This window comes from Homo sapiens, chromosome 4 (genome assembly GCF_000001405.40).
Source record: "Homo sapiens chromosome 4, GRCh38.p14 Primary Assembly".
Lineage (NCBI taxonomy): Eukaryota > Metazoa > Chordata > Mammalia > Primates > Hominidae > Homo > Homo sapiens.
Genome location: NC_000004.12, coordinates 129,581,224 through 129,604,965, shown reverse-complemented (window position 1 = coordinate 129,604,965; position 23,742 = coordinate 129,581,224). Strand labels below are relative to the sequence as shown.

Here is a 23,742-nt window from a genome sequence, read left to right as displayed (position 1 = left end):
AATGTAAAAACTAGGTTGAATCTAAATGCATTTTCATGCCCTTGGGAAACTTGCACTCAGACAAGAGTACTGGGATGTGTTATTAGAAAAAGGAAAAGGCACTAGAGAGGAAGTCAAAAGAAGAATCATTGCAACATTAGAACACATGCTTAAGAGCTAACTGAAATAACTATTAAAGCCTTTTCTCAATGTCATTGTCATCATTTACTAGTCCCTTTGGGATCAGAGATTATATCAATTCATTTTGCATATCATTCAGCAGTACAACAAAGTAAAACAAAAATCAAATGTGTGCTTTTGCTCATTATCATTATTAGAAATCTTAAAGACCATCTCAAAGAGTCAGTCCTCTTTATAAACATTTTAAACTAGATGTGCTAGATTTCTAGGTTTATTTTATGCTTAGGGTTGAATCTTAGATACAATTATTTTTAATCAATCAGAAGTTTCCATTTTTCCACATGTTCATTCATTCATTTAACAAAATGTGAGTCCCTCTATGTGCTGAGTCATACGTAGAGTGCTAATTATTAAGAACAAAAATAAACATGGTTTTGTTCTCAAGGAACTTGCAATCAGGTGGAAGAGATAAAAACAAATGCAAGCATAAGTATATAATTTAAAATTATGGTAAATGCTATGAAGCAAATGTATAGTGAAAGAACCTATCTAGATATGGTACGCAGGGAATACATTGAAAGAGTTCATGTAAGTACAAACTTGAATTACCAGAAGGAACCAGCAAGTGCTCAAACAATTAAAACAAGGCCAGTGTGGCCAGAACTTGATGGTTACAGGAAATGTATAAAGGTTGATTTTGAAGAAGCAGAAACCAACTTTTACATGGCTTGGAAGGGGTATGAGTTTTATTTAAGGAGTACTGAGATATTATTATAGGGTTTTTCAAAAGAAAGGCAAAATACTAAGAATTACGTTTCAAAAATATTTTTCTGCTAGAATTGTGAAGAATACATTGGACAGGCTTTTGTTTGGGTAGTATAGTTAATAAAATACCATAATGTATTCTGAGCTTACAAGAAGTAAGAGAAATCTTAAGGTCAAAAAATGAGAAAGAGAAAAAGTTGAAGCTGGAAAGAAGAGGAGACAGAAAACTAACCTAGATATGAGATAGCCACTAAGTAAACTACGAGTTCCTACAAAAATGGGAGTGTTTCACATGTCTCTGAATTTCACATAATCTACTTATCTCAAGTGGGAAGGCTAAAGGGAATCAAGAGCTTCTGGGTTGTTAGCACAACCTGTTACCCAGCAAAGAAGAAGAAACAGAGAACCTCTCTGTTTGTGCGTATAGCTTAGAGAAATTAAAACTCAAAATTCATGCTTCCCATTTTTTTTCTGCTGAGTCTCCAACAGAGGAGCCTTGATACCCATGTCAGGGTCACTGGATGGAAAATTACTGAGAGGAAATATCACGGGTAAGGGAGATTCTGACTAAACCCACCTAACAGGATTCTTGCTGAAGACAGATGAGAATGATCTGACATCAATCACTGGGGGGATGGTGGAACATGAGGAACCTGATTAGATTGCAACAAGGATGAGACGACATCAAGAGTGAAAGGTTCTTGCTAAACTGCCATAGAAAGGTTCTTTGCTAATATTGCTTTTTAAAAGCAAGTTCACAGATGGTCCTAGGAGAAGTTTCAAGAGCCTGACTAATGTCCAGCCTAGCAAAGAATCTTTGTCAGAGGAAGACTTCAAATTAGTCCAATTACTTCGGAACCAAGAGTCTCCTAAGCCTACAATTTAAAGAGCTTGAGAGTTAACAAAATTCCACAGCAATCAAGTAGAAAAATCATGCAAATCCCTGAGTCCTAGCTGGGACATTTATCCCAGGTAAAATATTATTCTTTGATCCCAGGGTTTAGTATTGCCATAACCTCTCAGTGAGAGAAAGAGAAAGAGAGAGAGAGAGAGAGAGAGAGAGAGAGACTGAGAAAGAACTATATATTGGTCTCAACCTCATCAAAATGTTGTTAATCAGAACCTATGGCCTGAAAATTTAAACTCAAATAAGGGAAATCATTACAAAACCTTAATTTTGGCACTGTCTTATGGTACAGTTTGGGAGATATACATCTATTCAAACTCCCTCTTCTAAAGTGTGTGTGTGAGAGAGTAGGGTGCAATTAAGACAATTTCTGCATTTCTGTGAAAGTTAGAAATTTGCAGTGATGGCAGCCCTTGTCACCAGGTACTATCAGAGGCATCTTTCTTTCTCATCCAATGTATTCCAAGGCATCCTAATCTCCATTTTCTCTGTAAGGACTTTTTTTAGATTCCCAACCACATGACTGAGTTAAGTCTTATGACGTAACATCTACAATTTCCTAGAAGCAAGTATCTTGGACCCAAAGTTTTGGACAATTCCCACTGCCACTCACAATAAAATTACTTAGACCTATGAAATCTGGCACCTGTGGAAGTTTTCTCTCTCATATGTAGCTAACAAATCTAGAGCCAACATGAGGATAAATGGCTCTTGAGATTTGGAAAAGCTGTATGGATTCAAACTCAGTATCTTCACAATTTTGTCTCTCAGCTCTGAAGGCAGATCAAAAACACACAAGGAACTATAAAATTTAAAAGAACTATCTACAGCATCTACCTAGGCCTGGAACTAAGAATTTAAATGTAAGCACTCACATGCTGATAGGATTTAGATGCTTTTGCAGTATAAACTATACCTATAGACGTGGTTGAGAAACACAGTAAAACTGGCAAAATTTTGTGCATAGAGGCTATATCTGAAAAGACTATCTTTCCTTCATAGTTGAATCATTGCCTCAGATGTACCTGCTTACTGAAGCCCGCACAGCCTGGTCCACGTACAGTCAAAGTGTGCATATAGGTCAAGCTACAGCTGTCCATACCCTAAACGGTTCTATCTGATAACTACCCACCCCTTTGCTGAAGACAGTTTGGCCTGAATGTGCTCAATTCTTATATGCCAAAGTCAGGGTGTGACACAGCTCTGCTAATGTCTCCAGACATCACCCATGCCTATAGACTGCGGCTTTTCCTAGGTACAAAGTTTTACTAAAAATAAGCTATGCCCTTGTGGCATTTGGTTAAGCACTTTCTTACCCACAGTCATTTTTGAACCCTACTCCTTCGCTGACGACCAAACATTTTGCTGACACTGGAATCTTTGATGAGGACCTAGGTCTCTCTCTTTATATAAACAACCATTTCTATGTAAAAACAAACAAAAACAAATCAAAACAAATGAACAAAAACCTACTATAAAGTGATATAACCTTTAAAACAGCAAGTGCTATGTAATCTAAGGTTCATTAATCTCATTCAAAGAGTTAAAACCTAATCTGCAAACTGTAAACAGTGGCCACATTGGCTGACATACGTCTCTAAGAACTGCCAAAGTAAAAAATCAACATGGTCTATATTTAATGAAATATGACCAATGTTCAAAGTCACCCACCCTAATTTACGAGAAGGCTACTTTATCAATAAGTATTTTATTCTTCCAAAATTTATTACCACTTTATTTCTCATGATTCCTGGCCCCAAGTTCTAGATCAAAAGTCAGAAAACATTTTTTGTAAAGGGCCAGAGAGTGAATGTTTTAGGCTTTGTAAGCCTAAAATTTTGGTGCATATTTGCCTTTGTTTTTTATAAAATCTTTAGAAACAGAAATAGTATTTGGGCCAAATTTAAGCCATGGACCATGTTTGCCAGCCCCTTTTCTAGTTGTTGAGACCATAATTACATTCTGAAAACCTTCTGAAACCCCAGAAAAAGTGGTTGTCGTCTAGAAGAGCCGGAGGCTGCCATTAACACTGATGGGAAGGAAGTAAGCTATTGACAGCGCATGCTCTCTACAGACAGCGGGTGTCTCAAGGGGAATCAAGAGCAAGAGCATGTGCACTTATTCAGTACAGTAAAGCACACTTTCCAGAGGAAGGAATAAAGAAAGAGCTGAGCTATATGTGCTCTGAATGAACTCAACAGTCACTCCTGAGAAGACGTAAGGAAGGGTGGAAAGAGGCCAGCAGTAACACTCATAGAAAAAAACAGAAAACAAAATTAGTAGTGAAGAAGACTCCCCCATTTTAAAATAATATTCAACAGAAGTTAGCTATTACCTTCATTTCCTAATATTTTTTCATAAAATTATTCTAAATTTTAACAACTTTATTTGCTGGTGGTTTGTTCTGTTTATCTGACTCATTTGTTTATTGAAGGCAAAGATCATATCCATCTTACTCATTATTTCCAAAAACTTTGACAGGAATTTTAGTCCTATGCCTAGCACATAGTAAACCCTCAAAACAGAAAAAAGTGGGAGACACAATAAGCATTGAGGTGGAGGTATGGGGGGGAACTCAAGAGCTTTGGATATGGTTTTAGTGCTTTGGTGCTTCTATAACAAAATACCTTAGACTGGGTAATTTATAAACAACAGAAATTTATTGCTCTTAGTTCTGGAGTCTGGGAAGGCCAAGATCAAGTCACCAATAAATTCAGTGTCTGGTGAGGTCTTGCTCTTGGCATCAAAGATGGCCTACTAGCTGGGTTCTCACGTGGCAGAAGGAAAAAACAAGCTTCTTTGGGTCTCTTTTATAAGGGCACTAATCCCATTCATGAGGGTAGAACCAAAGGCCTAATTATCTCCCAAAAGCCTCACCATCTCCCAGAGGCCTCACCACTTAATAACAACACAGATTAGGTTTTAATGTATCAATTTTTAAAGGACACAAACATTCAGAATATAATATATGTTAAATTTAAAATACCTGGAACACATGATGTAAAGACGTAAAACAGACAATCAAGGTGAGCTTTGAAACCAGGTAAAAGAGTTAGACTGGAGTTATAAATTCAAATGTCATCAACATAGAGATGGGATTTTCTTGGCAAATTATACACAGACCTAGTATAATCTTGAGGAACTGTATTATGTTTATGTTATATGCAGAATGAACAAAAGAAAATGGGGGATGTGTAATTAGAAAGGTAGTAGAAAAATCAGGATAGTGCAACGCAGAGAAAACCAAGAAAGGGAGGGCAAACTCTAAATTGGATGATGCCAGTAGCTGTGCTGAGTGCTCCTAAGAGGGAAAATAGGATGAAAACATAACAAAAATCATTTGATTTAGCAATATGGAGGTAACTGGGAGGGCAGTTAGGGGCTTATATGTGAATATATTTCGATGATTTGAAAATATGATTTGGCAGATTGGCTTTTGTGAACCTGTGGTAAGTAGGCAGAAAAGAATAAAGAAAAATGAATCTGATTATTAAATTACCCAAAACTATCTTTGCCTTGTGCCATAAACCAAATTTCTGTATCCTCTCAAAATTCATAGGTTGAAACTTAATCCCAAATGTGATGGTATTTTAAAGTAGAACCTTTGAGAGACAATTATGCCATAAGGGCAGAGCCCTTATGAATAGGGTTAGTGCCCTTATTAAAGGGACCACAGAGAGATCCCTTGCTCCTTCAGTCATGTGACGACACAGTGAGAAGACAGACATCTGTGAACAGGAAACAAGCCCTCACCAGATACCAAAGGTGATGGTGCCTTGATCTTGGGTTTCCCAGATTTTACAACTCCAAAAAACAAGTGTCTGTTGTTTATAAACCATCCAGATTATGGTATTTTTATAGCAGCCTAAACAGACACACCTCATGTTAACGTTTTTGAGATTTATTAAAATTCACCTAGAATTGTAACTAGAATTTTATTTGCAGTTCTGTTCTTAATTTTTGAGGAAAGAGCCACAATCATCCCTAAACACCAGAACATGGTTCATCACAAAGAATAAAGACAATTTATGAAACTAGTTGTAACTAGAGGTTACAAAGTTTAATTCTAGGGCTATGTGATTACAAAGACCTCGTAGATTTTGTGAGTACTAACAACTATATTAGATATAGAAGTTCAGATAATAAGAATAATCAAAGTTAATGCTTCAGAATATAAACTTATTGCCTGCAAGGCTGAAGAAGGAATTTTGTCTGTTTCCTGCATTAAGTATAGCACTATATACTTGGATAGCCACATCAGAAGGGTTGAACAAAGAGGCAACAAGGTTCACAGTATCTGAAATGTGAGGTTTGGTCATTGCAGGAATCAAGATGCTGAACCATCTGTTATAAAAGAGTTATGATTTCCAATATGAGAATGAATGTGTTGAAATATGCAGCACTAAATCTCCAAAGAAAACATACAGCATTGCACAATCACTATAAAAAATTTTCACATTAATAAGTAAAATTTTTAAAGCAACATGAATATTGGCAATCAATAATCCCTTTCCATTATATGGTTGTCTCTTAGCTGCAAATGTGCAGCAAGATTATGATTGATTAGTTTTAGGTAAACATTGAGATTCTATGTCAACATAAAAGTAACTGAGTAAATTAAATTAAAAGAAATAAAAACAAAAATTGAATTTCTTACATCTCTACACAGGTACTTGAAATGAACATAGTTTTTTTAATCTAAAATTCTTATTTCTTTTCTGAGTAATTACATTAAAGACAAGATAGATTATAAAGACATTAATCACTGCCCTAAATCCTATTATTATGGCTGTTGTTTGAAGGTTATATAAAATATTTACTAGTAACTTTTTATTAGACTGTCAATATTCAGCGTTTCTCACCACTGCATCACTTTAACCTATCTATTTTCCCAACGTGAAAAACACATTTGCATGTGTGTACATATTCCTGACCTTTAGTGAAATGAAAAGAGACTGATCGAATACCTGAGGTATTAGAGCTGCCGTTTCAGCCAACCAATTAGTGAAGCAGTGCCTTCCATTTGCAAGGCCAAAAATGAAATCCTATTGACCCGGCGTAGGTGTAAAAACAGACTATAGTAGTTTGATGTGTATAAATTAGGAATGCACTTTGACATGCAAAGAGAAACATGAATAACAATTTTACTTGACTGACAAATTAACAATCACCATAGCAATCTTGAAATATAAAAGAATAATATAAAACATATGAAGAGGGACATATTTCCTTTTGTCTTCCTCCTATCTGCTTAGCTCATTTCTTAAGCAAATAACTATCATTTGAAATGATAATAAATCAAAGGGTTTGTGAGAGGTGATATATTAAACAATTGTAATTTAAATATACTTGTTGAACTATTTTCTATTAACAGTCTATATGCAGGATTTAACACTGAATCATGCATATAAAGAACATGCTTGCTTTCTTTTTCAAAAATTTTCTCAACAGAAATTATGAAGTGTGTGTGATTATATGAATTCCTGGCAGGACAAAGTTCCAAAGTTGGGTAGAAAACCAATACTTTCTAACTCAAAAGTTGAATGCACTGAATGTGAAGACATCAAATGGCTTTAAGTGAATAGCAAAGAAATAAATACTACAAATTTTATAATCCATTATAACAATTACTTATAAAACTTTCATATGCCCAACGTTGTATTTACTAGAAATGATGGAAAGTAAAAATTTTAACGAATGATTAAATATTCAATGAAAATTAAATCATGAAACCATAGTTTATGTGTGTTTGGGGAGGAGGGAGAGAGATTATTACTCTAATGTATTAAGAAATATGTAATAAAAAAGAGAGAGGTCGGTGTAAGATCTGACGAAAGTATTGGTAAACTAGGAGTTAAGAAAATGAGTTCAAATCTAACCTTTAGCACAGATCCCTATGAGCTGTACCATCTTGGAAAAATACGTAAGCCTCTTCAGCTATACAAATGGGGAAAATAAAACCAAGCTCACAGGATTGCTGTGAATATCCTAAGAGATAATGAAGAAGACATTACTTAGCAGTTTCTACCATGTGGGAAGTCACAGATATGCCCCTCAAGTTTCTCTTACCAGAAAGTTTCCTCTTTTCCACTCCTTCCCTCCTTATTACCCCAGGCCTCCTCTTATATGCCCAAAGTAAGCCATGCCTGAGAATTTGTCCCCCTCCTGACATGAAATACTAGAGTAAAAAGTGCAGGGCCTCCTTGATATTTGTGGCTTGCACCGATGGTTATAGAGATCTTGCATGCATTTTTAACCTGTGTCTATTCAATTTCCAGGATCCCTTGGTGGTGACTATCTTGCTGAATTCCTGAGTATTGCTGCTCTAAATCACTGATATGTCAGTGACACTCATTCCTGAGCTTTTGCAAAATGACCTTCCAGCATACAGAAATAAAATGTTAGAACTTTGATATGTCTTGATGTTTTAGTATATCTTTTAAAAAATTACATTGTCTGTATAATTTTAAACCTGCAGAAAAAATGTATAGTAGCAGATGTATGCATTATACACATAAATATATTATATTGTTATAATCCTAAAGGAGAGTTTATCACATGCTTGGCACTCATTTGAGTGCTTTACCGATACTGTCATTTAATCTTTACTACAATTCTATGATGGTCATCCCCTTTTACAGATGAGAAAGGCAAGTCACACTTGCCTGGATCACGCTGCTACTACTAGCAGAGAACAGATTCAAATCCAGGCAGTCAGACTCCTGGCTCCAAAGTTTGTATTCTTGACCACTCTGACACATTGTCTTCATGTGCAAAAGTTATAGTTGTTTCAAAAATGTGTATTATATAGAGAGAAGGTATATGCCTGCTCAGAGTGGAGAAATTGATCATGGCCCCACCCCTCTATAAAGTAGGAAAATAATAATAGTAATCCCAGAAAAGTTTATCCAATCAGTGAACAGGGGAGAACCCTGCCATGTTCTCAGTAGAGCTCCAGGAGGTGGCTTTTTCACCAGCCCTTCCTTCTTTCCTTGCTTCCTTCCTTCCCTTCCCTTCCCTCCCTCCCTCCCTTCCTTCTTTCCCTCCCTCCCCCCTCCCTCAGTCCCTCCCCACTCCCTTCCTTCCTTCCCTCTGTCACTTCTCCCCTTCCCTTCCCCCTCCCTTTCTTCCTTCTTTATTACCTTTTGCATAGCAGCTTGTTCTGGGTTTTATATATGCAAATTCTCTCAAAAGTCCCTACAGTCACAAATTAATTTTTTAACATTCTCTTTCTTTTCTGGCACTTTGTTTCCTCTGGAAAAAGTTTTATGTTTAGCTTTGTATTTTTTATAATGTAATTGTATTTCTTCAAGTATTTGTTTTTTATTGACTATTCATTTATTCTTATACAATAGTCACTAATGAATTTTACAACATAGAATACAGAATTTATAATTGACTTGTTTGTTCTTTCCAGCTTTATTGAGTTATGATTAACAAATAAAAACTGTATACATTTAAGGTATACAATGTGATGTTTTTACATACATCTACATTTTGAAACAATTACCAAAATCAAGCTAATTAACATATAACATATTTATATATGAATATATATATAAAAATATTGTCTTCATTCATTTATCCATTGATGGACACATAGGTTGTTTCTATATCTTGGCTATTTTGAATAATGCTGCAATGAACATGAGAGTGCAGATATTTCTTCAAAATACTGATTTTATTTCCTTTAGATACATAATCAGGAGTAGGATTATTGAACCTTATGGTAGTTCCATTTTTAATTTTGGGGGCTACCTCATACTGTTTTCCATAATGACTGTAACAATTGACATTCTCATCAATAGTGTACAGGATTTATTTTTCTCCACATCCTTAACATAAGTCATTATTTTTGTCTTTTTTATAATAGCCATTCTAACATATATAAGGTAATATTTCATTTTGATTTTGTTTGGCATTTCTTTGATGCTCAGTAATATTGAGCACCTTTTATATACTATTTGGCCTTTTGTGTGTCTTTTTAAAGAATGTCTACTCAGATACCTTGCCCATTTTTTAATCATGTTATTTGGATTTTTGGTTTTGAGTTGAGTTTCTTTTATATTTTGGATATTAGTCTCTTGTCAAATGTATATATGGTTTATAAATGTTTTCTATCATTCCATAGGTTGTCTCTCCACTCTGCTGATCATTTGCTTTGCTGTGCAGCACTTTTGCAGTTTGATCCAGTCCTATTTGTCTATTTTGCTTTTGCTGTCTGTGTTTTTGGGGTGATGTCCAAAAAGTGATTGCTCACACTGATATCATGGAGCTCTTTACCTGTTTTCTTCTAGTAATTTTACAGTTTCATGTCTTACATTTAAGCCTTTAATCCATTTTAGGTTGATTTTTTATATGATGTGAGATAAATATCTAATTTCATTCTTCCACATGTGGTTACCCAGTTTTCCCAACACCGTTCATTGAGAGAATATCCTTTCCCCATTTTGTGTTCTTGGCAACTGTGTTGAAGATCACTTTACTAAAAAATGCATGGGTTTATTTATGGATTCTCTATTCTGTTCCACTAGTCTATATGGCTATTTTTATGTCGGTACCATACTGTTTTGATTACCATAGATTTGTAGTATATTTTAAAATCAGGCAGTGTGATTGTTCCAACTTTGTTGTTTTTACTTAAGATCATTTTAGCTATTTGGGTTCTTTCATGGTTTTGTGTGGCTTTTAGAATTATTTTTTCCAATGGCATGAAAAATGCAATGGGAATTTTTATAGAGATTGCAATAAATCTGTAAATCACTGAGTATTATGAAAATTTTAACAATATGATTTTTCCAATGCATGAACATGAGATGTTTCCATTTATTTATGACTTAAATTTCTTTCATCAATGTTTATCATTTTTAGTCTACAGATCTTTTACTTTCTTGGTTAAATTTATTTATAAGTATCTTACTGTTTTTAATACTATTGTAAATGGAATTGTTTAATTTTTTCAGATAGTTCCTTACTGGTCTATAGAAATGCAACCAATTTTGGTTTGTTGACTCTGTATCCTGCAAATTTACTAAATTCATTTATTAGTTCTAACAGGTTTTTGGTGGAATCTTGAGGCTTTCTATATATAAGATTCTGTCATCCACAGACATTTTCACTTTTTACTTTCTAATTTGTATGCCTTTTCTTTTTCTTGCCTAATTGCTCTGGCTAATATTTCCAGTATTATGTTGAAGAGAAGTAACAAAATGAACATATTTCTCTTTTCCCTCATCTTAAAGAAAAAAAATTTAGCTTTTCTTTTTTTTTACATTTATTTATTTATTTATTTATTTATTTATTATTACACTTTAAGTTCTAGGGTACATGTGCACAATGTGCAGGTTTGTTACATTTGTATACATGTGCCATGTTGCTGTGCAGCACCCATTAACTCATCATTTAACATTAGGTATATCTCCTAATGCTATCCCTCCCCGCTCCCCCCACCCCATGACAGGCCCTGGTGTGTGATGTTCCCCACCCTGTGTCCAAGTGTTCTCATTGTTCAATTCCCACCCATGAGTGAAAACATGCAGTGTTTGCTTTCCTGTCCTTGCGACAGTTTGCTCAGAATGATGGTTTCCAGCTTCATACATGTCCCTAAAAAGGACATGAACTCATCCTTTTTTATGGCTGCATAGTATTCCATGTGTATATGTGCCACATTTTCTTAATCTGGTCTATCATTGATGGACATTTGGGTTGGTTTCCGGTCTTCGCTATTATGAATAGTGCCACAATAAATGTACGTGTGCATGTGTCTTTATAGCAGCATGATTTATAATCCTTTGGGTATATACCCAGTAATGGGATGGCTGGGTCAAATGGTATTTCTAGTTCTAGATCCTTCAGGAATCACCACACTGTGTTCTACGATGGTTTAACTAGTTTACAGTCCCACCAACAGTGTAAAAGTGTTCCATTTCTCTACATCCTCTCCAGCACCTGTTGTTTCCTGACCTTTTAATGATCACCATTCTAACTGGTGTGAGATGGTATCTCCTTGTGGTTTTGATTTGCATTTCTCTGATGGCCAGTGATGATGAGCATTTTTTCATGTGTCTGTTGGCTGCATAAATGTCGTCTTTTGAGAATTGTCTTTTCATATCCTTCACCCACTTTTTGATGGGGTTGTTAGATTTTTTTTTGTAAATTTGTTTAAGTTCTTTGTAGATTCTGGATATTAGCCCTTCATCAGATGGGTAGATTGTGAAAATTTTCTCCCATTCTGTAGGTTGCCTGTTCACTCTGATGGTAGTTTCTTTTGCTCTGCAGAAGCTATTTAGTTTAATTACATCCCATTTGTCAATTTTGGCTTTTGTTGCCATTGCTTTTGGTGTTTTAGACATGAAGTCCTTGCCCATGCCTATGTCCTGAAGGGTATTGCCTAGGTTTTCTTCTAGGGTTTTTATGGTTTTAGGTCTAACATTTAAGTCTTTAATCCATCTTGAATTAATTTTTGTACAAGGTGTAAGGAAGGGATCCAGTTTCAGCTTTCTACATATGGCTAGCCAGTTTTCCCAGCACCATTTATTGAATAGGGAATCTTTTCCCCATTTCTTGTTTTTGTCAGGTTTGTCAAAGATCAGATGGTTGTAAATGTGTGGTGTTATTTCGGAGGCCTCTGTTCTTTTCCATTGGTCTACATCTCTGTTTTGGTGCCAGTACCATGCTGTTTTGGTTACTGTAGCCTTATAGTATAGTTTGAAGTCAGGTAGCGAGATGCCTCCAGCTTTGTTCTTTTGCCTTAGGATTGTCTTGGCAATGTGGGCTCTCTTTTGGTTCCATATGAACTTTAAAGTAGTTTTTTCCAATTCTGTGAAGAAAGTCATTGGCAGCTTGATGGGGATGGCATTGAATCTATAAATTACCTTTGGCAGTATGGCCATTTTCGCAATATTGATTCTTCCTATCCATGAGCAGGGAATGTTATTCCATTTGTTTGTGTCCTCTTTTATTTCATTGAGCAGTTGTTTGTAGTTCTCTTTGAAGAGGTCCTTCACATCCCTTTTAAGTTGTGTTCCTAGATATTTTATTCTCTTTGAAGCAATTGTGAATGGGAGTTCATTCATGAGTTGGCTATCCATTTGTCTGTTATTGGTGTATAGGAATGCTTGCGATTTTTGCACATTGATTTTGTATCCCGAGACTTTGCTGAAGTTGCTTTTCAGCTTACGGAGATTTTGGGCTGAGACAATGGGGTTTTCTAAATATACAATCACATCGTCTGCAAACAGGGACAATTTGACTTACTCTTTTCCTATTTGAATACCCTTTCTTTCTCTTGTCTGATTTCCCTGGCCAGAACTTCCAACACTATGTTGAATAGGAGTGGTGAGAAAGGGCATCGCTGTCTTGTGCCAGTTTTCAAAGGGAATGCTTGCAGCTTTTGCCCATTCAGTATGATATTGGCTGTGGGTCTGTCATAAATAGCTCTTATTATTTTGAGATATGTCCCATCAATACCCAGTTTATTGAGAGTTTTTAGCATGAAGGGCTGTTGAATTTTGTTGAAGACCTTTTCTGCATCTATTGAGATAATCATGTGGTTTTTGTCTTTGGTTCTGCTTATATGCTGGATTACATTTATTGATTTGCATATGTTGAACCAGCCTTGCATCCTAGGGATGAAGTTAACGTGGTCGTGGTGTATAAGCTTTCTGATGTGCTGCTGGATTCAGTTTGCCAGTATTTTATTGAGGATTTTTGCATTGATGTTCATCAGGGATATTGGTCTAAAATTCTCTTTTTTTGTTGTGTCTCTGCCAGGCTATAGTATCGGGATGATGCTGGCCTCATAAAATGAGTTAGGGAGGATTTCCTCTTTTTCTATTGATTGTAATAGTTTCAGAAGGAATGGTACCAGATCCTCTTTGTACCTCTGGTAGAATTCAGCTGTAAATCCGTCTGGTCTTGGACTTTTTTTGCTTGGCAGGCTATTAATTATTGCCTCAATATTAGAGCCTGTTATTGGTCTATTCAGGGATTCAGCTTCTTCCTGGTTTAGTCTTGGGAAGGTGTATGTGTCCAGGAATTTATCCATTTCTTCTAGATTTTCTAGTTTATTTGCGTAGAGGTGTTTATAGTATTCTCTGATGGTAGTTTGTATTCCTGTGTGATCAGTGGTCATATCCCCTTTATCATTTTTTATTGCATCTATTTGATTCTTCTCTCTTTTCTTCTTTATTAATCTTGCTAGTGGTCTATCAATTTTGTTCATCTTTTCAAAAAACCAGCTCCTGGATTCATTGATTTTTTGAAGGGTTTTTTATGTCTCTATCTCCTTCAGTTCTGCTCTAATCTTAGTTATTTCTTGCCTTCTGCTAGCTTTTAAATGAGTTTGCTCTTGCTTCTCTAGTTCTTTTAATTGTGATGTTAGGGTGCCAATTTTAGATCTTTCCTGCTTTCTCTTGTGGGCTTTTAGTGCTAAAAATATCCCTCTACACACTGCTTTAAATGTGTCCCAGAGACTCTGGTATGTTGTGTCTTTGTTCTCATTGGTTTCAAAGAACATCTTTATTTCTACCTTCATTTTGTTATGTACCCAGTAGTCATGCAGCAGCAGGTTGTTCAGTTTCCAACTTCTGCAGACTTAAATGTCCCTGTCTAACAGCTTTGAAGAGAGTAGTGGTTCTCCCAGCACACAGCTGGAGATCTGAGAATGTACAGACTGCCTCCTCAAGTGGGTCCCTGACCCCGAGTAGCCTAACTGGGGGACACCTCCCAGTAGGGGCCAACCGACACCTCATACAGCTAGGTGCCCCTCTGAGACAAAGCTTCCAGAGGAAGGATCCGGCAGCAACATTTGCTGTTCTGCAATATTTGCTGTTCTGCAGCCTCCGCTGGTGATACCCAGGCAAACAGGGTCTGGAGTGGACCTCCAGTAAACTCCAACAGACCTGCAGCTGAGGGTCCTGACTGTTAGAAGGAAAACAAATGAACAGAAAGGACATCCACACCAAAACCCCATCTGTACATCACGATCATTGAAGGCCAAAGGTAGATAAAACCACAAAGATGGGGAGAAACCAGAGCAGAAAAACTGAAAATTCTAAAAGTCAGAGCGCCACTTCTCCTCCAAAGGAACGCAGCTCCTCACCATCAATGGAACAAAGCTGGACAGAGAATGACTTTGACAAGTTGACAGAAGTAGGCTTCAGACGATCGGCAATAACAAACTCCTCTGAGCTAAAGGAAGATGTTCAAACCCATCTCAAATAAGCTAAAAACCTTGAAAAAAGATTAGACAAATGGCTAACTAGAATAAAAAGAGTAGAGAAGACCTTAAATGACCTGGAGGAGCTGAAAACCATGGCATGAGAACTACATGATGCATGCACAAGCTTCAGTAGCTGATTCGATCAAGTGGAAGAAACAGTATCAGTGATCGAAGATCAAATGAATGAAATGAAGTGAGAAGAGAAGTTTAGAGAAAAAAGAGTAAAAAGAAACAAACAAAGCCTCCAAGAAATATGGGACTATGTGAAAAGACCAAATCTACGTCTGATTGCTGTACCTGAAAGTGACAGGGAGAATGGAACCAAGTTGGAAAACACTCTTCAGGATATTATCCAGGAGAACTTCCCCAACCTAGCAAGGCAGGCCAACATTCAAATTCAGGAAATACACAGAACACCACAAAGATACTCCTCGAGAAGAGCAACTCTAAGACACGTAATTGTCACATTCACCAAAGTTGAAATGAAGGAAAAAATGTTAAGGGCAGCCAGAGAGAAAGGTTGGGTTACCCACAAAGGGAAACCCATCAGACTAAGAGTGGATGTCTCGGCAGAAACTCTACAAGCCAGAAGAGAGTGGGGGCCAATACTCAACATTCTTAAAGAAAAGAATTTTCAACCCAGAATTTCATATCCAGCCAAACTAAGCTTCATAAGTGAAAGAGAAATAAAATCCTTTACAGAAAAGCAAATGCTGAGAGATTTTGTCACCACCAGGCCTGCCCTACAAGAGCTCCTGAAGGAAGCATTAAACATGGAAAGGAACAACCAGTACCAGCCACTGCAAAAACATGCCAAATTGTGAAGACTATCAATGCTAGGAAGAAACCGCATCAACTAATGAGCAAAATAGCCAGCTAACATCATTATGACAGGATCAAATTCACACATAATAATATTAACCTTAAATGTAAATGGGCTAAATGCTCCAATTAAAAGACACAAACTGGCAAATTGGATAGAGAGTGTGTTGTATTCAGGAGACCCACCTCACCTGCAGAGACACATACAGGCTCAAAATAAAGGGTTGGAGGAAGATCTACCAAGCAAATAGAAAACTAAAAAAAAAGCAGGGGTTGCATTCCTAGTCTCTGATAAAACAGACTTTAAACCAACAAAGGTCAAAAGAGATGAAGAAGGCCATTACATAATGGTAAAGGGATCAATTCAACAAGAAGACCTAACTATCCTAAATATATGTGCACCCAATACAGGAGCACCCAGATTCATAAAGCAAGTCCTTAGAGACCTACAAAGAGTCTTAGACTCCCACACAATAATAATGGGAGACTTTAACACCCCAATGTCAACATTAGACAGATCAACAAGACAGAAAGTTAACAAGGATATCCAGGAATTGAACTCAGCTCTGCACCAAGTGGACCTAATAGACATCTACAGAACTCTCCACCCCAAATCAACAAAATATACATTCTTCTCAGAACCACATTGCACTTATTCCAAAATTGACCACATAGTTGGAAGTAAAGCACTCCTCAGCAAATGTAAAACAACAGAAATTATAACAAACTGTCTCGCAGACCACAGTGCAATCAAATTAGAACTCAGGATTAAGAAACTCTCTCAAAAATTTAGCTTTTCAACATTGAGTATGATGTTAGCTATAGGATTGTCATATACAGCCTGCTATGGTTTGAATGTAATTTCTCCCTGCCAAAACTTATGTTAAAATTTTATCCCAACAAGGCAGAGTTGGGAAGAGAGGCCTGGTGGGAAGTATTTGGATCATGGGGACAGATCTCTTATGAATAGATTAATGGCCTCCCTCAGGAGTGCATGACCTTGTGTTAGTTCCCAGATTATTAAAAATGGTATTCTTCCTTGGTTTCTCTGTCTTGCTTACTCTCTTGCTATGTGATTCATTTTTATCCATCTGCTCTCCTTTCACTTTCTGCCATGAGTTGAAGCAGCCTGAGGCCCTGATGCAAGTAACCAATCTCAAAACTTCTGGTCACAAGACTTGTGAGCCAAATAAACCTCTTTTCTTTGTACATTACCCAGCCTCAGGTATTCTGTTACAGCAACACAAAACTAAATAAGACGTGGCCTTTATTGTGTTGAAGTACATTCCTTCTATACCTAATATGTTGAGAACCTTTATCATGAAAGTATATTCTATTTTGTCAAATGCTTTTTCTGCATCTATTGAGATGATCATGTGATTATTATTCTTTATTCTATTAATGTAGTATATCACACTTATTGAAGTGTGTATGTTAAGCCATCCTTGCATCAAGGGATAATTCTATTTTATGATGGTGTACCTTCCTTTCAATGTAGTGTAGGATTTGGTTTGATAGTATTTTGCTTAAGACTTTTGCACACATAGTTATGAGAGATACTGGCTTGCAATTTTCTTTTCTTGCAGTGTCCTTCTCTGGTTTGGAATCTGGTAATTGGTAATTCTGGCCTTGTAAAATGACTCTGGATGTGTTCCCTCCCCTTCAATGTTTTTGAAGAGTTTGGAAAGCACTGATATTAATTCTTCTTAAATGTTTTGCATGATTTACCAGTGAAGCTATAAGATCCTGGGATTTTCTTTGCAGGAAGGGTGTTGATTACTGATTCAATCTTTTTACTCATTTTCTGTTTATTCAGATTTTATATTTCTTTATGATTTAGTCATGGTAGGTTGTATATTTTTACGAGTTTGTCTATTTTATCTAGTTACCCAACTTTTGGCATATAATTGTTCATGGCACCTCTTACAATTTTTTATATTTCTTTAGTATCTGTTGTAACATCTCATATTTCATTTATAATATTATTTAATTGAGTTTTATTTTTTTCTCAGTTTAGCTAAAAGTTGTTTATTTTGTATATCTTTTCAGAAACCACCTCTTAATTTCAATAATCTTTAAAAAAAATTGTAGTCTCTATTCTTAAATTTCTCCTTTGATATTTCCTTCTTTCTACTAACTTTGGGTTTAGTTTATTCATTTTCTAGTTCCTTACGGTATACAAGATAATGTTAGATTGTTTATTTGAGTTTTATAATTTAAACATCTTTTTGCTAAAAACTTTTTTTAGTATTGCTTTTGCTGAATCCTATAAGTTTTGATATGTTGTGTTTCTATTTTTGTTTTTTCTCAAGATATTTTTATTTCCCTTTTGATTTCTTCTTTGACTCATTGGATGTTGGAAAAGGTATAATTTGAGTCATACATTTTTGTAAATGTTTAAATTTTTTTCCTGTTATTGATATATGGTTTTATACCAATGTGATCAGAAAAGATGCTTAATATGGTTTTAATCTCATTACATTTGTAAGGCTTATAGCCTAACATGCAATCTGTCCTGTATATTTTTGTTAGGTTCATTTGGTCTATAGAGTTGTTCAAGTCCGATGTTTTCTTGTTGATTTTCTGTTTGGATGATCTATCCAATATTGAAAGTGGGATATTAAAATTCCCCATTATTATTGTATTAGTGTCTATTTCTCCTTTCAAATCTGTTAATATTTGCTTTATATATTTGGGGTCTCTGATGTTGGGTGCATATACACTTATAATTATTACATCTTCCTGGTGAATTGACCATTTTATCATTACATAATGATCTTCTTTCTTTCTTCTGACAGTTTTTGACTTAAAGCCTACTTTGTTTGATGCAAGAATAGACATTTATGTTCTTTTGGTTCGCATTTAAACAAGATATCTATCTGAACTTTTTGGCCTATGTGTGTCTGTAAAGTGAATCTCTTGTAGGCAGCAGAAAGTTGAATCTTGTTGTTTATTAATTAAACCACTGTGTGTCTTTTGATTAGGGAATTTAATCAATTTGCATTTAAAGTAATTATTATCAGGTAAGGAGTTTTTGCCATTTTATTCTTTATTTTATAATTGATTTTTAGTTTTTCTGTCTCCTTCTTAATTTATTGTGTTCTTCCTTTGAGATTTGATGATATCTTATAGTGGTATGCTTTGACTCTTCTCTCTTTATATTTTGTTTATCTATTACAGTTATTGTGTTTATCATGAAGTTTATTTAAAACATTTTACAGATATAACAGTCTATTTTAAGTTGATAACAACTTCAATCACATACAAAAACTGTACTTTTACTTCTTTCCAACCACACACACACTTTCTGACATTGATGTCACAATTTACATCTTGTATATTGTGCATCCATTAATAAATTATTAGTTATACTTTTTAATACTTTGATATTTAAATTGTATAGTAGAGTTAATAATTTATGCATAACCATTAGAGTATTAGAGTATTCTGTAATTGAAAGAAAAATACCTTTACCAATGTGTTATTTCCTTTCATATGTTTTTATGCTATAAATCTGTATCCTTTCATTTTAGTCGGAGAAAGCCCCTTTAGCATTTCTTATAAGGAAGGTCTAGTCATGATAAACTCTCTTACTTTTCATCTGTTTAGGAAGTCTTTTTTGTTTCTTTATTTCTAACTGATGGTTTGGGAGGTATAGTTTTCTTTGTTGGCAATTCTGTGTTTTTAGTTTTCACTTTCAGCACTTTGAATGAATCATACTAATCCCTCCTGTTCCGCAAGATTTCGGCTGAGCAATCCATTGATAGTCTTACAGATGTTCCCTGCTATGTGACAAGTCACTTTTCTCTTACTGCTTTCAAAAATTTTTTGTTTTTGACTTTTGACAATTTGATTGTAATGTTACTTGGTGTATTTCTCTCCAAATATGACCTGTTTGGATTTCTTTGGCCTTTATGAAACTGGATATTCATTTCCCACTTAAGATTTTAAAATTTTTCAGTCATCAGTATTTTTAAGTAAGCTTTCTGCTTCTGTCCTTTCTTTTTCTTCTGGTATTTGCATATATGAGTTTGTTTGATGGAGCTTCATAAGTCTTTTAAGTACTTTGTATTCTTTTTAAATTGTTTTTGCTCCTTCGCCTAGATAATTTCAAATAACCTGTCTTCAAAATTCACTGATTCTTTTTTCTGCTTGATCAAGTCTGCCTTCGAACAGTAAATTTTTCTCTTCAGTTATTGTATACTTCAGCTTCAGTATCTCTATTTGTTTCTTTTTTGTAATTTCTTTCTTTTGTTAATATTTTCATTTTGTTCACATATTATTTCATTAATTTTATGTATTTGTTATATTTGTGTTCTTTTGTAACTCTTGGGGCTTCTTTCAAATAATTATTTTGAATTTTTGTCAGCTTAGTCACAGATCTTTATTTCTTTTGGGTTGCCTATTAAAGATTTACTTCTTTCTTTAATTGTGTCTTTTTTATTATTCATGCTTTTTGTACATATGCTTTCCTGTATGCACATTTGAAGAAGCATCTGTGTCTGCCAGTCTTTATGGACTTGTTTTGACTGGAAGGGACTTTCATCATCTACAGTGCTTGATATAGGAAAAGATAGAGACCCACTTCAATGAGTGCACTAAAAGTCTAGAGACAAGCCCCTTTAACATTATTCCCTCCCTCTTAGAGGAAAAGCCTTACAGCTATGCATTTTTTTTTTCCTATTTCACATAGTGGTACCAGCTGCAAGAGAATAATTAATTTTTTTCTTACTTTTTTTTTTGTTATTGCTAGCTATTCCAAGGAACCAAATTCCGTGGAGAAAAACTGGCTTCACAGCGAGTGCTCTGAAATGCTAGGTATACGCCCCCTTCGCTTCCTTCCCTCCCTCAGAGGAAAAAAATCTCAGTTCTGCTCGTCTTCCCAATCTTGCAGAGCAGTGCTGGATGTAAGGGAATGCTGTCCCCATCTCTTTTTGTAGGTATTCCAGGAGACCAGGCCCTGATGATGACTCAGCACTCACTGTGAAACAAGATTAAAAACATGCCTCACGAAGGGTGTCCTCAGAAGCCAGGAGGCCAGACATTTAGGCACACACTCCAACCAATATCACTCCCCTCACCCCATGGGAGAAATCATGGGCTGAAGCAATTTTTGTGGTGCAATGTTAAGCTGGTTTGGGGAAAGGACTGATGCAATAAAGTGAAATTTATCTTATTACCAATATAAATGCAACTGCTTTCAGTCTGTGCTCCTCTGGGATGCTTCTCCTCAAGGCAAAATCATTGTTCTATCAATGTTTCTGTAGAAAAACAAGAGCTAGGACTTCCTACTCCACTATCTTGCTTACATCACTCAGATATTTGCTTATTTCTTCAGCAGTTGTATACATTTTCTACAAAGGTCTCCCATGAATAAAAGTTTATTTCTTATAGTGTGTTTTAGTAAGGTTTCTTATTTGCAAACAATAAAAATTAGCTCAATTGGTTTAGCAAAAGAGTACCTTATTAAATGCATATTAAGTTTAAGTGTCTTATTTTTCCTTACCTCTTTTTCTTTTTTGTCTTTCTTGAATATTTTAGTCCAAAAGCCATTTTTTTGGAGTTGAGCAATGGGACCTGTTTCAGGGTATCAAAAATGGAGTAAGGTGAGCATTGGCCTAGCAGAGCAGCCAGTGTGGGCTTTATAACCTGAGCAGACTGGGGAGAGATTCTGTGTGGCAGGAGTCAGGGAGTTCTGGTATGAGTAGGATATGGAGCCCTATTCTGAGGGAATGACACAGTGGGGTATCAAAACATGAGTGAGGTGAGAAGAGTGTACATGCAGGATTTATGAGGAGTGTAATAATCAACCCAATGTATGGTTTGGAGCCTGAAGGGAATAAGGAGAGAGGTGTACGGAGAGGTGTCCTATGTGCAGGGAGGTGTCCCAGTACTTGGTTTTGGAAACTAAACAAAGTGTAGAGGGCATCTATGCAAGATGACAGCTCTGGATGGGGTGTTGGAATCTAAGCATAATGAGGAAGTTTGAGTTCCTCACTGTGGGCAAGAACGGGGATACAATTGACAGTGATAGGATGTTGATTAAATACATGAAGATTAATTTTAAAATTTAATAGATGGAGAACATGGGAGCTAGGTTTCTCACCACCTGTTAGCAGCAACATGACAATAGCAATGTACACATGTAGTTCCCAAATACTGGTTTCTTTTCTTTCTTTCTTTCCTTTTTTTTTTTTTTTAGAGGAAGAGTCTTGCTCGGCCACCCAGGCCACAGTACAGCACTGCAATCTTTGCTCACTGCAACATCCACCTCCCAGGTTCAAGCAATTCTCCTACCTCAGCCTACCAAGTAGCTGGGATTACAGGGGCATGCCACCATGCCCAGGTAGTTTTTGTATTTTTAGTAGAGACATGGTTTCACCACATTGGCCAGGTTGGTCTCAACCTCCTGACCTCATGATCCACCTGCCTCGGCCTCCGAAAGTTCTGGGATCACAGGTGTGAGCCACTGCGCCCAGTCCCAAATACTGGTTTCTAAACATCATCCTAACTAAAGGGAACAAAGACTCATTAAAGAAAAGGTTAATTCCAATGTTGGAGCAAAAAGAGTCACTCATGAGCCTGAGTCTTCTTATGCCAGAAAAAAGAAAGTGCTGAAATATTAAAGGGCATCACTATTAAAAAGGGCCTCCACTGAACAAATCTAAGACAATTTGAGCATCAAAAGGAATGTTAGTAAAAGCTTAAAATCCATCAAGTAAAATAGGAATCTGTATGTCCACATTACTTTTAAGAAATAAATTTAAAAACTGAAAGTTGGAAGGAATACCTACAAGGTCTCAAAGGACTCTTTTATTAAATACTTATTCATTTCAAAAAAGTTAAAGTTACTTCATAATGCCTGGCAGACCTCACCTTACTTAAGTGATCAAAATTATCTCATCAGTAATAGAACACATTGAAATTGAATGCCACCAACTAGAATGCAATGAGAAAAACACAGCCTCATGTCTATGATAGCCTGAGAAATATACATAATCTGAATCTAACAAGGAAACATCACATAAATCAAAATTAGGAACATTTCTACAGAATTACTTGTTTATTGAAAGCTGTCTAAGTCACGAAAGTAAGAAAACACTGAAGAATTTTTCCTGATTGAAGGCAATTGAAGAGAAATGGAAAACAAATGCAACATGTGATTCTGGGTGAAATTATTTTCCTATAAAGGCCTGGGACAATGAGTGAAACTTAAATGGGGCCTAAGTATTAGATAGTAGTGATATATCAATGTTAGTTTTATGATTTTGATGATTGTATTGTGTTTATTTAGAAAAATGCCCATTTCTTCGGATTGTACAGGGAAAATAAATCTTGTACCACATATATATATATATATATATATATATATATGGTACAAGTATGGCATATATATATGTGTGTGTATATATATATATATATATATATGGTACAAGGAGCCTCTGAAGTCACTCCTTTTTGTTTGTTTGTTTGGTTGGTTTTATATTTACTTTTGTTTTAGTATTTCTTTTCTTTTTGTACAGTAGCACTTGCTTCAAAATTCAGAATCACTGCATCTAATTTGCTAAGGCTAGATTACATGCCTGTGCCTAGCTGAAAAGGAGAGTAGAATAGTAAGTACTTTTTGTTTGTTTGTTTTATTATAAGAGGCTTTCACTTCCTCCAACCACACCCATGAGGTAGGGAATGTTTTAAACTTAAGTTGATACTTTAAGCAACCAAAAAATGTAAAATTGGCTGAGAAGGTCCATTCCTTTTGGTTCCTAGAATCGATATCCTTCTTATCACATAACTATATGGAGATATAATACCAGTTGATAACATAAAAGAACAATGTAGGTAGAGGCATAAATAGACCACTATAGTCATATGCTTTCTATATTATATAATAAATGTTAAAATATTA

General features: G+C 35.6%; 1 annotated feature.

Moving 5' to 3' along the window:
- Positions 20,196 to 21,395: an enhancer, noted in NCBI's record as "MED14-independent group 3 enhancer chr4:130504726-130505925 (GRCh37/hg19 assembly coordinates)". NCBI's record gives its function as "activates an origin of replication core promoter dependent on BRD2, BRD4, P300/CBP and CDK7 cofactors, and independent of MED14, by STARR-seq in HCT116 cells {active_cell/tissue: HCT116}" and the evidence as "EXISTENCE:reporter gene assay evidence [ECO:0000049][PMID:35650434]".